Source organism: Homo sapiens, chromosome 19 (assembly GCF_000001405.40).
Source record: "Homo sapiens chromosome 19, GRCh38.p14 Primary Assembly".
Taxonomy (NCBI): domain Eukaryota; kingdom Metazoa; phylum Chordata; class Mammalia; order Primates; family Hominidae; genus Homo; species Homo sapiens.
Window position 1 is genome coordinate 35,666,170 of NC_000019.10, and position 18,026 is coordinate 35,684,195.

The window sequence follows — 18,026 nt, forward strand, 5'->3', positions numbered from 1 at the left end:
GATTTGGATCTTGCTCCTATTCCCAGGAAGGCCCATGTCCTAGCAAGAGAGACACCAGGTGGTGCGCACGCCCCTCCACCTCCAACTCCTCCACCGCCAACAAAGCCTGGGACCCAGAGGCCATGGGTCCTACACAATCTGGTATTTCAGGTCTATAAATCATGGGGGTGGCAGGGAGCCCATCAAAGCTGTTCATCCAGCCTGGTCTGCCGGCTCAGCCTCTTGTCCACCCCACTGCCGTGCCCCAAAACACACACACACACACACACACCCTCCCTCCTTCCTGGGAGACTAGCCCAAGGAGGGGCCTGGGCGTATATAGGGAGCCACGGTGGGTGGGGCTGGCCAGAGAGGCTGCAGACAGAGAAGGTGAGGAGGGGGCCCTGGGAGTCTGGGTATGGCATGAGGGGTCTGAGGCTCAGGGAGGGGCAGTGCCAAGTTCAGGCCAGTGACTGCCCCACCGGAGCCCGGGTGTCCTCTTGTGCAAAATGCCTCCCCACCAGGGCTGTGGGTACATCAGTACCAGCCTGGGCCCCGCAGAGAGCTGGAGCAACCCCTCGAAGCCAGGGTGTGGCTCAGAGATGGGGGGTCCGGCTGGCCCTTTACGCTCCTGGCCTCATCCCTGCTCATGTGTCCCAGGATGATGGCGTCTGCGGCAGCAGCGGAGGCCGAGAAGGGATCTCCAGTTGTGGTGGGCCTGCTAGTTGTGGGCAATATCATTATTCTGGTGAGACTCGCCCCAGTGCTGGGAGCCGAGTGGTTGTGTGGTGGGGAGGGGACAGTCCTGAGCTCGGGGTGGGGGATGAGGGTCCAGAACTGTCTCTCGGGCAGACTCAGTGGTCAGCACAGCCTGGGTTGAAATCCCAGCTCTGCCTCTCCCCAGCTCTGTGACCTTAGCAAGCGACTGTCCCTCTCTGTGCCTTCTTTCCTCATCTATAGACTGTGTCCTCATTGTGTGGGCTGTTGTCATGTGGATTAATCCATGTGTGGCCCTCAGCTCAGAGAAAGTGCCCGACCAATGCTGGCTATCACCATCAGCATCACTATGGATATAAAGTGACAGCCTGGTGCACAGGAGGCCACAAGAAGGAAAAACAACAGTGTCTTTCAATTAACATTGGGTTTTGGTTTTGTGTTTTTTGTTTTGTTTTGTTTTGTTTTGTTTTGTTTTGTTTTGTTTTTGAGACGGAGTCTCACTCTGTTGCCCAGGCTGGAGTGCAGTGGCTGATCTCAGCTAACTGCAACCTCTAACTCCCGGGCTCAAGTGATTCTCCTGCCTCAGCCTCCAGAATAGCTGGGATTACAGGCGCACACCACCACGCCCGGCTAATTTTTTTTTTTTCAGACAGATTCTCCCTTTGTCACCCAGGCTGAAGTGCAGTGGCGAGATCTCGGCTCACTGCATCCTCCACCTCCTGGGCTCCAGCAATTCTCCTGCCTCAGCTTCCCGAGCAGCTGGGATTACAGGCACATGCTACCACACCCGGCTACTTTTTGTATTTTTAGAAGAGATGGGGTTTCACCATGTTGGCCAGGCTGGTCTTGAACTCCTGACCTGAGGTGATCTGCCCACCTCAGCCTCCCAAAGTGTTGGGATTACAGGTGTAAGCCACCGCGACTGGCCGTGTGTTTGTTTTAGAGACAGGGTCTCACTCTGTTGACCAGGCTGCAGTGCAGTGGTGTGATGCTTGCTCACTGCAGCCTCCAACTCCTGGGCTCAACTGATCCTCCTGCCTCAGCCTCCCAAGTAGCTGGGACTACAGGTGCACATCACCACATCTAGCTAATTTTTTTATTTTTTGTAGAGACGGGGTCTCACTATTGCCCAGGCTAGTCTCAAACTCCTGGGCTCAAGCAATCCTCCCGCCTCGGCCTCCCACAATGCTGGGACTGCAGGTGTGAGCCACCTTGCCTGGCCCATTTGTAATGTTTATGGCCATGGCCATGTTCCCCTCCTCGGGGAATAACAGCACTGTCAAGGGAGGGCAGATGGACCAAGCATCTCCTCTGTGCCAGTCCACTGCTCCAGCCTTTCCACGTGGCATCCCCTTTTATCCCCGAAGAAACTGGCAGCTGGGGCGTGGGGGTCGGTTGTCTGGCTGGGCTGTCTCTTCTCTCCTGGCCTCTGCTCACCCTCATCGCTGCTCATGGAAGGCGAGGTCTTTGCCCACTTTACTGAGAGGGCAGTGGAGGCTCCAAATGGGGAGGGAACTTGCTCGTGGAGATGCCTGGTGCCAGGGCTGCTGGCCCCGAGCAGACCTTCCTAACCCACCGCTCTGTCCAGCTGTCAGGCCTGTCCCTGTTTGCTGAGACCATATGGGTGACAGCCGACCAGTACCGTGTATACCCACTGATGGGAGTCTCAGGCAAGGATGACGTCTTCGCTGGTGCCTGGATTGCCATCTTCTGCGGCTTCTCCTTCTTCATGGTAGCCAGTTTTGGTGTGGGTGCCGCACTCTGCCGCCGCCGGTCCATGGTCCTCACGGTGAGACTCCAGGGGTTGGGGGATGGGGACACTGAAAACGGAGTTCAGCATCACTGAGTCATAGTAGCAGGTGCAGCCCCAGCCACTAGTGTGAGTTCCCCATGGTGTCACACTCAGGGATCCCAGGCATCATCTCATTCAGTCTTCCCACAGCCCAATAACCCAGGCTTGAGTAGCAGAGCTGGGATTTTTTCTTTTTTTTTTTTTTGGTAAAGATGGGGGTCTCACTATGTTGCCCAGGCTGGTCTCAAACTCCTGGCTCAAATGATTCTCCTGCCTCAGCCTCCCAAAGTGCTGGGATTACAGGCTTGAGCCCCTCTACCTGCACCCAGTGCAGGGCTAGAATTTGAACCCCTGCTAGCTGCTTTCCAGAGTCCATGCTCATGAACTCTGCCAATAATAGCACAGCTACCATTTAATAATGGTTTACTACAAGCCACGAGCTGTTCTAAATGGTTTACTGGATTAGTTCATTTATTCCTCATAGTCCACCAAGAGATACTGTCATCATCATGACCCTGTTTGATGAAGATTGAAACTGAGGCTCAGAGAAGTGAAGTCACTTATCCAGGGTCACACATTGAGACAATGGCAGAGCCAGTTTCAACCTGAGCAGATCGGCTCTTGAGGCTGTGCTCTTAATCTCTGCCCACAAGAATAACCCATACTTCCCAAGTGTCTCTCATGCACCTGACACTAGGGTAAGCAGTTTAGAAAATGAGCTTCGTGGCCAGGCGCAGTGGCTCATGCCTGTAATCCCAGCACGTGGGGAGGCTGAGGCGGACAGATCATTTGAGGTCGGGAGTCCAAGACCAGACTGGCCAACATGGCGAAATCCCATCTCTAAAAAAAAAAAAAAAAAAAAAATTAGCCACGCATGGTGGCAGGCACCTGTAATCCCCGCTACTCAGGAGGCTGGGGCGGAAGAATCACTAGAACCCGGGAGGCAGAGGTTGCAGTGAGCCAAGATCACACCACTGCATTCCAGCCTGGATGACAAAGCGAGACTCCATCTCAAAAAAAAGGAAAGAAAATGAGCTTCCTCAATCTTGCCAGAAGCCCTTCACAGCTAGTGCTTTTCAACCCATTTACCAGATGAGGAAACTGAGGCTCAAAGAGGCTAACAGCCTCTCCCAGGTGACCAGGAGAGCAGGGATTCCAATTCACGGCCCCAATGACACAGAGACAGCACTGTGTTTCCTCGACAGCAGAGGGTTTTTCAGATTCCCAGAAGCAGCCACTCATTTGATGAACAAATGCTTATGAGCAGGAGCTACATGCTGAGCCCTACGCTGGGCACTGGGGCTCTGTGCTGAGCGAAACATAAAAGCCCTTGACCCAGGGAAGTGGTGCTCAGAGGAGGAAGACAGTGAACAGGAGGGGAGGTCAGGAGCCGAGGAGGGCGAGGGAAGACCTCACTGCCAGGGAAAGCAAAGACCTAGAGGCACTGGGAGCGAGGCAGGTGTGTAACTGGAGGAAGAGCCTTCCAGGTGGAGGTGGCAGCAAGGGCAAAGGCTCTGAGGCCAGAGCGGGCCAGGAGTCCAAAGCAGCTGGAGCTGAGTGAGGAGGAGGTTGGGGGGTGAGAGGACATGAGGCAGACAGATGGGGAGGAGAACAGTGAGGAATGGGGATGGGAAAGAAGCAGGAGGGAAGGCAGGTGTTGTGGACTTTGGCTTTATCCTGAGTAAGATGGACCCATAGACCCCCTGCTCCCCTCCCCTCCCTTCCCCTCCCCTTCCCTCCCCTCCCCTCTCCTTCCTTCCTTCCTTCGTTTTTCTACACAGGCAGGTGTTGTGGACTTTGGCTTTATCCTGAGTAAGATGGAGCCATGGACTCCTCCCCTCCCCTCCCCTCCCCTCGCCTCCTCTCCCCTCCCCTCCCCTCCTTTCCCCTCCCCTCCCCTCCTCTCCCCTCCCCACCTCCCTCCTTCCTTCCTTCATTTTTCTAGACAGGCAGGTATTGTGGACTTTGGCTTTATCCTGGGTACGATGGAGCCATGGACTTCCTTCCCTTCCTTCTTTCCCTCCCTCCCTCCCTCCCTCCCTCCCTTCCTTCCTTCCTTCCTTTCTTTGTTTCTCTAGACAGGGTCTCACTCTGTTGCCCAGTTTGGAGTGCAGTGGCACAATCATAGCTCATTGCCACCTCGAACTCTTCATCTCAAATGATCCTCCCACCTCAGCCTCCCAATGAGCTGGGACTACAAGTGTGCATCACCATGTGCAGCTAATTTTTGTATTTTTTGTAGAGATGGAGTCTCACTATGGTGCCCAGGCTGGTCTCCAACTCCTGGCCTCAAGTGAGCCTCCCACCTCAGCCTCCCAAAGTGTTGGAATTACAGGCATGAGCCACCACACCTGCCCTCTTATTTTCTTATCCTGTATTTAATTATCTGGCATAACAATTTAACCAAAGCCCTAAAAAGTCACCCAACTAGTTTTAAAAATTGTGTCTGGGCCGGGCTCGGTGGCTCACGCCTGTAATCCCAGCAGTTTGGGAGGCCGAGGCAGGTGGATCACAAGGTCAGGAGATCGAGACCTTCCTGGCTAACACGGTGAAATCCCGTCTTTACTAAAAAACAAAAAATTAACCAGGCGTGGTGGCGGGCGCCTGTAGTCCCAGCTACTCGGGAGGCTGAGGCAGGAGAATGGCGTGAACCCGGGAGGCGCAGCTTGCAGTGAGCAGAGATCGCGCCACTGCACTCCAGCCTGGGCGACAGAGCAAGACTCTGTCTCAAAAAAAAAAAAAAATTGTGTCTGTTTCCCCATTAGTTTGTCATTAACTAAGACATTTTCTCCCCAAATTTCTTTTTTTTTTTTTTTTTGAGACGGAGTCTTGCTCAGTTGCCCAGGCTGGAGTGCAGTGGTGCGATCTCGGCTCACTGCAAGCTCCGCCTCCCGGGTTCACGCCATTCTCCTGCCTCAGCCTCCCGAGTAGCTGGGACTACAGGCACCTGCCACCACGCCTGGTTAATTTTTTTTTTTGTATTTTTAGTAGAGATGGGGTTTCGCCGTGTTAGCCAGGATGGTCTCGATCTCCTGACCTCGTGATCCGCCCACCTCGGCTTCCCAAAGTGCTGAGATTACAGGCATGAGCCACCGTGCCCGGCCCCCAAATTTCTTACAGGAAATTTCTAAAGTAGACTAGAGTCCGCAGTATTTGAGCCCTGCATACCTCTCACCTGATTTCAACAACATCAGCTGCAGACTGCCCGACATTGTCTCCTCTATCCCCCTTCTCTCATACTTTTTCTTCTGGGTATTTTGAAGCACATTCTAGATGCCAAGTCACTTGCCTGTAAATACTGGAGCACACATTTCTCTGAGTGATAAGCACATTGTTTTAAAGCAGTCAGGAGGTTGTGCAATGTCATCCATCTCCCAGCAGCAGAGTTCACACATCCACACGCAACCTCCTGCTGCTTTATAGATGAAGGTGCCAGGTGAGGACATGAAAAGAATTTGCATTAAACATCAACTGACAAGCTTTTTTTTTTCTCCTGCCCTCTGTGCCGTTGGCACAACCCACCAAATTCAATCAAGTTCTTCTATATCTTCCAATACCCAGTCTGTGTCAAATGTCTCTGATTATCTGAGAACATCGTTTTATGTTGTTTGTTTTATTTTAAGAGACAGGGTCTCACTCTGTTGCCCAGGCTGGAGTGTAATGGCACAATCTCGGCTCATTGCAACCTCTGCCTCCTGGGTTCAAGCTATTCTCCTATCTCATCCTCCTGAGTAGCTGGGATTACAGGCACCCATCACCATGCCCAGCTAATTTTTGTATTTTTGCATTTTTAGTAGATGGGGTTTCACCATATTGGTCAGGCTGGTCTTGAACTCCTGACCTCAGGTGATCCACCCGTCTCAACCTCCCAAAGTGTTGGGATTACAGGCGTAAGCCACTGCACCCACCCTTGTTTGTTTTGTTTTAAGAGACAGGGTTTTGCTCTGTTGCCCAGGCAGGAATGCAGTGGTGCGATCATAGCTCGCTGAGGCCTCCAACTACTGGGCTCAAACGATCCTCCAACCTCAGCCTCCCAAATAGCTAGGACTAACACTACCACTAGTAGTAACTATGCTTAACTAATTTTTTTATTTTTATTTTTTGTAGCGACGGGGTCTCACTGTGTTGCCCAGGCTGATCTTGAACTCCAGGGTTCAAGCAATCTTCCCATCTCAGCCTCCCAAAGTGCTGGGATTACAGGTGTGAGCCACCAATGCCCAGCCCTAATTTTTGTATTTTTAGTAGAGAAGGGGTTTCACCATGTTGGCCAGGCTGGTCTCGAACTCCTGACTCAGGTGATCGCCCCCTCGGCCTCCCAAAGTGCTGGGATTATAGGCGTGAGCCACCACGCCTCGCCTGTCTCAAAAATAAATTAATTAAATTAAATATTTCAAAATACAGAAAAGTTGGAAGACAATACAGCGAACACCTGAACACCCACCACATATTATAGATGCTGCTAGTCACACTGCCCCAAACTTTTTTAAAACTTGCATTTCCCCAGTGATGCTTCCCTGACGGGGTGTGGCTTCACGGGCTCTGCCCGACGGGCCGTCCTCCCTCTGTCTCCCCAGTACCTGGTGCTCATGCTCATCGTCTACATCTTCGAGTGCGCCTCCTGCATCACGTCCTACACCCACCGTGACTACGTGAGCCCGGCGAGGCCTGGGGAGGGGCCTGACCTGCATGGGAGGGGCGAGGGTCCCGGCGCGGCGGGGCGGAGGTCGTCCTCTCTCCCCACCCAGCCCTGCCGGCCCTTGTTCTTCCCTGTTCTCCTCAGATGGTGTCCAACCCATCCCTGATCACCAAGCAGATGCTGACCTTCTACAGCGCGGACACCGACCAGGGCCAGGAGCTGACCCGCCTCTGGGACCGCGTCATGATTGAGGTGGGCGGGGTGGACCGGGTGCTGGGAGGGCCCTGGGCTCCGTCCACAGAGGCCGATAGAGCTCCCGATGTGCCAGCTTTTAGAGGAGTGAGTGCCTTAAAGACATCCGCTCATGAGATCTCTAGGAGAGCAGGGCTGCGGTCATCACCGTTCTGCGGATGAGTAAACAGGCCCAGAAAGGGAAAGTCCCTTGCCCGAGGCCACACAGTCGGTAAGTGGTGGGAGCTGGGATTGGAACCCGGCAGCCTAGCTCCTGACCTCCCTGCTCTTAGCCTACACATACTACCTCAACAGAAATGTTGATAATAACAATGATAGTAACAGCACCATTCACTGAGCTAGGTTTCACACTGTTCAAAGGACTTTTATTTTTATATTTTGAGATGGGGTCTTGCTCTGTTGCCCAGGCTGGAGTGATCATAGCTCACTGCAACCTCCAACTCCTGGGCTCAAGTGATCCTCCCGCCTCAGCTTCCCGAGTAGCTGGGAATACAGGTGCGCCCCACCACACCCGGCTAAGTTTTTTAAATTATCTTTTGTGGAGATGGGGGTCTTGCTCTATTGCCCAGGCTGGTCTGGAACTCCTGGGCTCAGGATTGGAGCGATTCTCCCACCTCCGCCTCTCAAAGTGCCGAGATCACAGGCATGAGCCACGAGTGCCTGGCCTCAAAGCACATTTTTTTTTTTCTTTTTATCTTTTTTTTTTTTTTTTTTTTTTTGAGACAGAGTCTTGCTCTGTCGCCCAGGCTGGAATGCAGTGGCGCGATCTCGGCTCACTGCAAGCTCCGCCTCCCGGGTTCACGCTATTCTCCTGCCTCAGCCTCCCGAATAGCTGGGACTACAGGCGCCTGCCACCGCGCCCAGCTGATTTTTTGTATTTTTAGTAGAGATGGGTGTTAGCCAGGATGGTCTTGATCTCCTGACCTTGTGATCCACCTGCCTCGGCCTCCCAAAGTGCTGGGATTACAGGCTTGAGCCACCGTGCCCAGCCTTTCAAAGCACTTTTAAAGCTTTTTTAATCCTCACGACCACTCCATAAGGGAGATCGGCCTTTTAGTGATGAGGAGACCAAAGCAAGAGGTTGAATATCTTGCATGAGGTCACACACCTGGTAGGTCACAGAACTGGAAGGATTCAAACTCAGACTTCCAGGTTTGAAGAGATACAGTCTTCCTCAAATCCAACATGATATTGCACTGGAAAAGGAAGAAATTGGCTGGGTGCAGTGGCTCAAACCTATAATCCCAACACTTTGGGAGGCAAAGGCGGGCAGATCACTTGAGTTCAGGGGTTCAAGACCATCCTGGCCAACATGGTGAAACCCTGTCTCTACAAAAAATACAAAAATTAGTCAGGTGTAGTAGTGTGCGCCTGTGATTCCAGCTACTTGGGAGGCTGAGGCAGGAGAATCACTTGAACCCAGGAGGGGGAGGTTGCAGTGAGCCAAGATGGCGCCACTGTACTCCAGCCTGGACAACAGAGGGAGACTCCGTCTCAAAAAAAAAAAAAAAAAAGAAGAAGAAATTGAGGACTCAAGGAAAACTGAGGCGTCAATGTGGCCCAAGTCCTCTAGCTAGCCAGGATTTGAACCCATGTTTGAAGGGTGCCCAAGCCTATGTTTTCCTCATTCAGGAGCCACAAATTAAACACCTGGATTCCTTACCAAGGCCAGGAAAAGCCAGAAATCTGCCCTTTTTGTGTTATTTTATCAGCATAGTTGTTGATAAAAATATTTTATTTTATTTTATTTTTTGAGATGGAGTTTCATTCTTGATTCCCAGGCTGGAGTGCAGTGGCACGATCTTGGCTCACTGCAGTCGCCACCTCCCGGATTCAAGCAATTCTCCTGCCCCAGCCTCTCAAGTAGCTGGGATTACAGGCGCCCACCACCACACCCGGCAAATTTTGTATTTTTAGTAGAGACGGGGTTTCATCATGTTGGTCAGGCTGGTCTCGAACTCCTGACCTCAGGTGATCCATCCACCTCGGCCTCCCAGAGAGCTGGGATTACAGGCGTGAGACACCGTGCCCGGCAAAAATATTTTAAAATAAGTCAGAGGTGCAGGTTTAATCCAAATCCCCCATCAGCCTCCTGGTCCTGGGACAAATATTGTCTGCACCGTGCTCACACACACAGACACCCACCGGACACACTCGCTTGGAGGCCCAGGACATGGGGAAGTTGGGCCCAGCTGTGTCAAAGGCCAATCCTGCCCCTCCTTGCTGTGTGACCTCAGGCAAGCAACTGTCCTCTCTGAGCCCGAGCCTGCCTGACCCCCTGCTTTTCACTCTAGCAAGAATGCTGTGGCACATCTGGTCCCATGGACTGGGTGAACTTCACGTCAGCCTTCCGGGCGGCCACTCCGGAGGTGGTGTTCCCCTGGCCCCCACTGTGCTGTCGCCGGACGGGAAACTTCATCCCCCTCAACGAGGAGGGCTGCCGCCTGGGGCACATGGACTACCTGTTCACCAAGGTGTGGCCGTCTGCCCTGCTCCATCTGTCTATCCATCTGTCTGTCTTCCTCTGGTCTCTGCTCCCTCTCTGATTCTCTCTTTCTCCCTCCCTGTGTCTGTCCGTCTAGCTTTTTCCCTCTCCTCTTCCCCTCTCTGATTTTCTTGTTTTCTTTTTCTTTCTTTCTTTCTTTCTTTCTTTTTTTTTTTTCAAGACCGAGTCCTGCTCTGTCACCCAGGCTGGAGTACAGTGGCACAATCTCAGCTCACTGCAGCGTCTGCCTCCCGGGTTCAAGGGATTCTCCCACCTCAGCTTCCAGAGCAGCTGGGATTACAGGTGCGCACCACCCTCTTGGCTAGTTTTTGTATTTTTAGCAGAGACGGGGTTTGACCATGTTGTCCAGGCTGGTCTCGAACTCCTGAGCTCAAGTGATCCACCCACCTCAGCCTCCCAAAGTGCTCAGATTACAGGCGTGAGCCACCACGCTGGGTCCCCTCTCTGATTTTCTAGTGCTCCCCCAACTCTCTCTCAAGTCAGCAGGATGCACCCAGGGTCTGTCTGAACCAGACCTGGCACCTACAACTTTACTCAGGTTGTCCGAGAATAAGAGCAATAATAGGGCCGGGCGCGATGGCTCATGCCTGTAATCTCAGCACTTTGGGAGGCTGAGGAGGGCAGATCACTTGAGGTCAAGAGTTCGAGACCAGCCTGACCAACATGGCGAAACCCCATCTCTACTAAAAATGCAAAAATTAGCCCAGAGCAGTAGCACGTGCCTGTAATCCCAGCTACTCGGGAGGCTGAGGTAGGAGAATCACTTGAACTCTGGAGGTGAAGGTTGCAGTGAGCCGAGATTGTGCCACTGCACCCCAGCCTGGGCGACAGAGTGAAACTCCATCTCAAACAAAAAAAAACAAAACAAAACATCAAACAAAACAATAGAGCTAGGCACGGGGGCTCACGACTGTAATCCCAGTACTTTGGGAGGCCAAGGCAGGAGCATCACTTGAGGTCAGAAGCTCAAGACCAGCCTGGGCAACATATCAAGACCCCGTCTCTACAAAAAAGTACAGAAAATTAGCCAGGCGTGGTGGTGCGCGCCTGTAATCCCAGCTACTGGGGAGGCTAAGGCAGGAGGATTGTTTGAGTCTAGGAGGTCAAGGCTGCAGAGAGCTGTGATGGTGCCACTGCACTCTAGCCTAGGCAAGAGACTTAAAAAAGGCAAGAGACTTTAAAAAAAAAAAGGCCGGGCGCGCACAGTGGCTCATGCCTGTAATCCCAGCACTTTGGGAGACCGAGATGGGAGGATCACAAGATCAGGAGTTCGAGACCAGCCTGACCAACATGGTGAAACCCCGTCTCTACTAAAAATACAAAAATTAGCCGGGCGTAGTGGTGCACACCTGTAATCCCAGCTACTCAGGAGGCTGAGGCAGGAGAATTGCTTGAACGCGGGAGGTAAAGGTTTCAGTGAGCCGAGATCATGCCACTGCACTGTAGCCTGGGTGACAGAGGGAGACTGCGAGACTGTCTCCAAAAAAAAAAAAAAGCCAGCTGTAAGATCAAAATCACCCTCAGATTGTCATAGCCATCAGCAGGGCGGCACCTACTTGTGCAGGGCCTGGGTTCAACATCAGCTCCCTGGGGCCCCGAAACCACCCGAGGAGGTGGACAGTGCCATGGTCCCCATTGCACAAGTGAGAAAACCAATGCTCAGGGAAGGTGGTGACTTTCCCAAGGGCGCACAGTGACTCTCGCTTTCAGCGGCTACCCTCATGGGCGTCTTCTCAAACTTCCCCCATCCCCCTGCCCAGGGCTGCTTCGAACACATCGGCCACGCCATCGACAGCTACACGTGGGGTATCTCGTGGTTTGGGTTTGCCATCCTGATGTGGACGGTGAGAGGCGGGGAGCCCACAGGCTGGGTGGGCTGGGGGTGGGGGGCGGAGTGCCCTCATCTCGCTGCCTCCTCGCCAGCTCCCGGTCATGCTGATAGCCATGTATTTCTACACCATGCTCTGAGGGACAGGAGGGGAAGGCAACATACACACCCCGGACTCCTCCGCATCCTCCTCCTGCTTCCTCCGCTGGGCCTGGATGGCTGCCTCACCTCTCACCTCCCAACGTCCCTAGCCCTTACGTCCTTCCACTTCCAAGATCTTTTTCCAGGTTCCTGAGCCCTACTGTGTCTCAGGTGTGCCCTGAAACCCCAGGGCTTGTGTGCACATATCCTTAGCCCATCTTTCAAGGGACCTCTCCATGATCCCACCTCCCATTCACAGATACCTCTCTTGTAGCTCTCTGACCTCCTCCTTCATGGCAGGCATCGCCATTCTTGCTGAACCGTTTGTGATTGCCATTTGAGCTCTGGAAGCCTCTATTGCCATGAGAGTTCTGTCACGGTCACTTTACTGTCCCCATCATCACCCAGCACGGGGCTAAGCATATACTAGATAGTCAATAAATAAATAAATAATGAATGAATGAATGAGTTTTTTTTTTTCTGGGTCACGGGAGAGTGAACAAGAACTGTTCTAGGCCAGGCGCAGTGGCTCACGCCTGTAATCCCAGCACTTTGGGAGGCCGAGGCGGGCAGATCACCTGAGGTCAGGAGTTCAAGACCAGCCTGGCCAAAATGGTGAGACCCCCATCTCTACAAAAATGCAAAAATCAGCCGGGTATGGTGGCGCACATCTGTAATCCCAGCCACTCCGGAGGCTGAGGCAGAAGAATCACTTGAACCCGGGAGGTGGAGGTTGCAGTGAGCTGAGATCGCACCATTGTACTCCAGCCTCGGCAACAAATCGAGGCCCTGTCTCCAAAAACAAAAAAAACTATTCTGATGGAAGTGGTGGAAACCCAACTGTCACTGACTGAAGTGTAAAATGGAATTTATCAGCTCACGTAACTGAGTCAACGGGGCTGGCTTCAGGCATGTCTGGATCCAGATGTTCAATCTAAGTTTCCAGGAAACCTGCTTCATTCCCTGACAGGATTTCTCTGGCAACTCCAGACTTAATGTCTTTATAACTAAGCAATGCAACAGAAGGAAAGAGCCTCTCTCCCAAGGGCTGTAGCCAAGGTCCAGAGTTGTAGCCAAGGTCCAGAGTTGAATCTCACTGTCTCGGCTTAGGTTCTAGGCCCTTCGTTAGGTTGGGAAAGGGAGGGCACCTGGCTTGGTAATCCTGCTAAGGATGCATGCAGTGGTGGTGTTGGAAGGGGAGTTGTTTATCAAAGGAAAATCCAGATACAGGGCTGCTGAGGCTTATAGGTGATAAAAATCCTTCTCCTAGGGATATAGCTTCCAGCAAGTTCTCTAAGGGGTCCATGACAGCAAACCATTACGAATTGAATTATGGCTGGGCACTGTGGCTCACACCTGTAATCCCAGCACTTGCTGAGGTGGGCAGATCACTTGAGGCCAGGAACTTGAGACCAGCCTGGCCAAAATGGCGAAACCCTATCTCTATTAAAAATACAAAAAAGTACCTGGGCATGGTGGTGTGCACCTGTAGACCCAGCTACTCAGGAGGCTGAAGCACAAGAATCGCTTGAACCCGGAAGGTGGAGGTTGCAGTGAGCCAAGATTGCACCACTGCACTCCAGCCTGGGAGACAGAACAAGATTCCGTCTCTAAAAAAAAAAAAAAGAACCAAATTATCACTCTTTGTTCTCCCTGAAGCCACGACTAGGCCTTCCCAAGAGGGCCTGGGGGCTTCCTTCCCCATCAAATAATTTCTTGGGGTTCCCATTTACTCCAGTGGTCTGCAGATAGTCTTTGATTGCTGAATTCAGATTTCATTTTTTAAAAATATGTAATGGATAAAGAGGTCATTATTTATTAGAGTGAAAAATCGGAAACTACCCAACAACCATCACCAAAGGGATGGGTTGTGTAAATCATGTTATGCCCTTGGACTGAAATGCTCTGTGGCTGTTGTGTGTGCGCCTGTGGTCCCAGCTACTGGGAAGGCTTAGGCGGGAGGACCGCTTGAGCCCTGGAGTTCGAGGTTGCAGTAAGCTATGTTCACACCTATGAGTAGCCACTGCACTCCAGCCTGGGCGACACAGCAAAATTCCATCTCTAAATAATAATAATAATAGGCTGAGCACGGTGGCTCATGTCTGTAATCCCAGCACTTTGGGATGTCCAGGTGGGAGGATCGCTTGAGCCCCAGAGTTTAAGATCAGCCTGGGCAACATAGCAAGACCTTGTCTCTATAAAAAATTTTAAAAAGCAGGACGCAGTGGCTCAGGCCTGTAATCCCAGCACTTTGGGAGGCTGAGGTGGGAGGACCGCTTGAGCTCTCGAGACCAGCCTGGGCAACATGGCAAAACCCTGTCTCTACAAAAAATGCAAAAATTATCCAGGTGTGGTGATGCGTGCCTGTGGTCCCAGACACTGGGGAGGCTGAGATGGAAGGATGGCTTGAGCCCAGGAGGCAGAGGTTGCAGTGAGCCGAGATCGCACCACTGCACTCCAGCCTGGGTGATAGAGCCAGACTCTGTCTCAAAAAAAAAAAAAATTAAAAAAATTATCTGGGTGTAGTAGTGTGTGCCTGTGGTCCTAGCTTCTTAGGAGGCTGAGATGGAAGGACTGTCTGAGCACAGGAGGTCGAGGCTGCAGTGCTCCACACCACCACACTCCAGCCTGGGGAACAGAGCAAGAACCTGCTTCAAATAAATAAATATATATATATATAATTATAATAATAAATACTTTTTAAAAGAGATAGCTGTATGTGAGTTGACTATAAAAAGATCTCATAATAACTGGAAAGCCCATATGAGGATGTTCATTAGTAAAATAAATGACTATCAGCAGGGCACTGGGTAAATTAGCTACGCTATATCCATCCTCTGCAATACCACAAAGAGGTAAAAATAAAAAGAACAAGAACTCTGCTTTAACATGGAAAACGCGCTAAGAAATACATAGTAGGAAAAATTGAAAACTATATACAGTACTTTTTTTTTTTTTGAGATGGAGTTTCACTCTTTTGCCCAGGCTAGAGTGAAGTGGTGCGATCTTGGCTCACTGCAACCTCTGCCCCCTGTGTTCAAGCGATTCTCTTGCCTCAGGCTCTGAGTAGCTAAGATTATAGGCACCTGCCACCATGCCCGGCTAATTTTTGTATTTTTACTGGAGACAGGCTTCGCCATGTTGGCCAGGCTGGTCTGGAACTCCCGACCTCAGGTGATCCACTCACCTCAGTCTCCCAAAATGCTAGGATTACAGGTGTGAGCCATCACACCTGGCCCATATAGTACTCTTATTCCTGCAGGGTTGATCAAACGGAGCTTTAGTCTTTTTCTTCCTTAAAAAAATGAGTTAATGTTTTTATAATAATGTTTAGAAGAATAGAGGAAAAACTTTGTTGTTTTGCAGAACACTTTTTTGTTGTTGTTGTTGTTGACGGAGTCTCGCTCTGTTGACCAGGCTGAAGTTCAGTGGCACAATCCCGGCTCACTGCAACCTCCGCCTCCTGGGCTCAAGCAATCCTCCCCTCTCAGCCTCCTGAGTAGCTGGGACTACAGGCACGCACCATCACGCCCCGCTAATTTTTTTTTTTTTTTTTTTTTTTTTTTGAGATGGAGTCTCATTCTGTCGCCCAGGCTGGAGTGCAGTGGCGCAATCTTGGCTCACTGCAAGCTCCGCCTCCCAGGTTCACGTCATTCTTCCGCCTCAGCCTCCCACGTAGCTGGGACTACAGGTGCCCGCCACCACACCCAGATAATTTTTTGTATTTTTAGTAGAGACGGGGTTTCACTGTGTTAGCCAGGATGGTCTCGATCTCCTGACCTCATGATCCGCCCGTCTTGGCCTCCCAAAGTACTGGGATTATAGGCGTGAGCCACCGCGCCCGGCCTGTATTTTTTATAAAAATACAAAAACCGTTCTGCGCCTGGTAGAACACTTCTTTATTACAGCAATATATAAAACAAATATAACTTTAAGCCGGGTGTGGTGGCTCACACCTGTAATCTCAGCACTTTGGGAGGCCAAAACAGGTGGATCACCTGAGGTCAGGAGTTTAAGACCAGCCTGGGCAACATGGTGAAACCCCGTCTCTACTAAAAATACAAAAAATTAGCCAGGCATGGTGGCGGGTGCCTGAAATCCCAGCTACTCAGGAGACTGAGGCACAAGAATCGCTGGAACCTGGGAGGGGAGGTCGCAGTGAGCTGAGATCATACCACTGTACTCCAGCTTGGGTGACAAAGTGAGACTCCATCTCAAAAACAAATATATATATATATATATATATATAAATTTATATTATATATAAACTTAATATAACTTTAAATATTCATAATGACACTATACATTATGATTGATGGTGTTAGTCCACTCTCTCAAATTTGAGAGAATAGCTTGTAGAATTCTTGAAATTCACCAACCTTCTTCATAAAGACACAGGATTGAAATGCATGTGCATGTTTTTGTTAAGAGCATACCAATTTCATTCTCCTCAGTTTTGCTCATAATCTCCGTATTTTCATGCACCCTCAGTGAGTTAGCCAAACTCAAGGCCTTTTATTACGGAAAGGGCTAGCACAGTTGTGGTGACACCCTTAAAAGTTAATATCCTTAAAAGTTAATAACTAATAAGTCAACAACAGATTTTTGACCTAGCTCCCTTTTCCTTTAGAGCAAAAAGAACTTTCACCTGAGCATCCAGCCCAACCCCTAAAGACTGAAAATACCCTTCAAACTCCTTTAAAAGTGCCCTACACAGTGGCTCACGCCTGTAATCCCAGCACTTTGGGAGGCTGAGGTGGGCAGATCATCTGAGGTCAGGAGTTCGAGACAAGCCTGGCCAACATGGTGAAACCCCATCTCTACTAAAAATACAAACATTAGCTGGGCGTGGTGGCGGGCACCTGTAATCCCAGCTACTTGGGAGACTGAGGCAGGAGAATCGCTTGAACCTGGGAGGAGGTGGCAGTGAGCCGAGATTGAGCCATTACACTCCAGCCTGGGCAACAAGAGTGAAACTCCGTCTCAAAAAAAAAAAGAAAAAAAAAAAACAGAACTGGCAGCGGGGAAGGGCTGGAGGCAGTGTCATCAGAGGAAGATTTTTGGATTCCAAGCACAGATGATGATTTGTCTGTGGTCAGTTTGTTTTGTTCTTTTCCTTTCTTTCTTTTTTTTTTTTTTTTAAGACAGAGTCTCGCTGTCACCCAGGCTGGAGTGCAGTGGCGTGATTTTGGCTCACTGCAACCTCCACCTCCCAGGTTCAAGCGATTCTCCTGCCTCAGCCTCCCAAATAGCTGGGATTTACAGGTGCCCCCCGACATGCCTGGCTTTTTTTTTTTTCTCTGAGACAGAGTTTCGCTCTTGTTGCCCAGGCTGGAGTGCAATGGCGAGATCTTGGCTCACCACAACCTCTGTCTCCCAGGTTCAAGTGATTCTCCTGCCTCAGCCTCCCGAGTAGCTGGGATTACAGGCATGCACCACCATGCCTGGCTAATTTTGTATTTTTAGTATAGACAGGTTTTCTCCATGTTGGTCAGGCTGGTCTTGAACTCCTGACCTCAGGGGATCCACCCGCCTTGGCCTCCCAAAGTGCTGGGATTACAGGCATTAGCCACCGCACCCAGCCCCTGGCTAATTTTTGTATTTTTAGTAGAGATGAGTTTTCGCCGTGTTGGCCAGGCTGGTCTCAAATTCCTGACCTCAAGTGATCCACCCGCGTCGGCCTCCCAGAGTGCTGGGATTATGCCTTCTGTTGATGATGTCAATCACTTTTTGCGGTTGGTCGTCTCCTTGATCTGAATAATCTGAATCCATATCTTCGTATTCTGCCCAAAATGCCTCCACTGGAAGCCATAAACTGGGCCCAAGTCCCCTTCTTCTCAGTGGAGAATCCCAAGTTGTCCAAAAAGGGCTCCACTGCCTCATCTCACATTTTCACTCTCTTGGAAGACAGTTCTTCAGCATATGTGGATCCCTTGATAAACGACAGCAACTCCTCCAAAACATTGTGGTTGTCAGCAGAGGAAAGTCACTTCTCAGGCTGCAGTGGGACTGACTGACTGCCTGCCTGCCGAAAACGAAAACAGCGGCGGCAGAGAGCAGGTGCCCTGGGGGCGTCCTTCCTGCAGCTGCAGCAGACGATGTGCTCCACCTGCCTTAGGTACTGCAGCTCCCCGTGGGGCGGACAGGGCTCAGCATCCCGCTCCTGCGCGGCAGG

The 18,026-nt window shown here is 51.1% G+C and overlaps 1 protein-coding gene, 1 long non-coding RNA gene and 1 pseudogene across 3 annotated transcripts, besides 1 other annotated feature; 1 reads left to right on the forward strand and 2 right to left on the reverse strand.

Moving 5' to 3' along the window:
• The first annotated feature begins 347 nt into the window (after positions 1 to 347).
• UPK1A (uroplakin 1A) lies at positions 348 to 12,312 on the forward strand. Of its 2 annotated transcripts, NM_001281443.2 has the most exons (9): positions 348 to 369; positions 640 to 727; positions 2,285 to 2,485; positions 7,063 to 7,137; positions 7,269 to 7,376; positions 9,671 to 9,850; positions 10,067 to 10,164; positions 11,643 to 11,726; positions 11,806 to 12,312. In NM_001281443.2, the coding sequence occupies exons 2-8, from the start codon at positions 644 to 646 to the stop codon at positions 11,716 to 11,718; spliced, it is 822 nt and encodes a 273-aa protein (NP_001268372.1). In that variant the 5' UTR covers positions 348 to 369; positions 640 to 643; the 3' UTR covers positions 11,719 to 11,726; positions 11,806 to 12,312. The 2 variants fall into 2 exon arrangements, with proteins under 2 accessions (NP_001268372.1, NP_008931.1); NM_007000.4 differs by lacking the exon at positions 10,067 to 10,164.
• Positions 1,779 to 7,122, reverse strand: UPK1A-AS1 (UPK1A antisense RNA 1). Its single transcript, NR_046420.1, has 2 exons — positions 7,066 to 7,122; positions 1,779 to 2,516 (listed from the first exon to the last, which is right to left on the reverse strand). It is a non-coding gene; the product is annotated as a UPK1A antisense RNA 1 (long non-coding RNA).
• Positions 17,422 to 17,923: an enhancer, noted in NCBI's record as "H3K4me1 hESC enhancer chr19:36174493-36174994 (GRCh37/hg19 assembly coordinates)". NCBI's record gives its function as "activates a minimal SCP1, AML or CMV promoter by ChIP-STARR-seq in primed H9 embryonic stem cells {active_cell/tissue: H9 hESC(primed)}" and the evidence as "EXISTENCE:reporter gene assay evidence [ECO:0000049][PMID:30033119]".
• On the reverse strand, positions 17,612 to 18,026 carry TYMSP2 (thymidylate synthetase pseudogene 2; annotated as a pseudogene).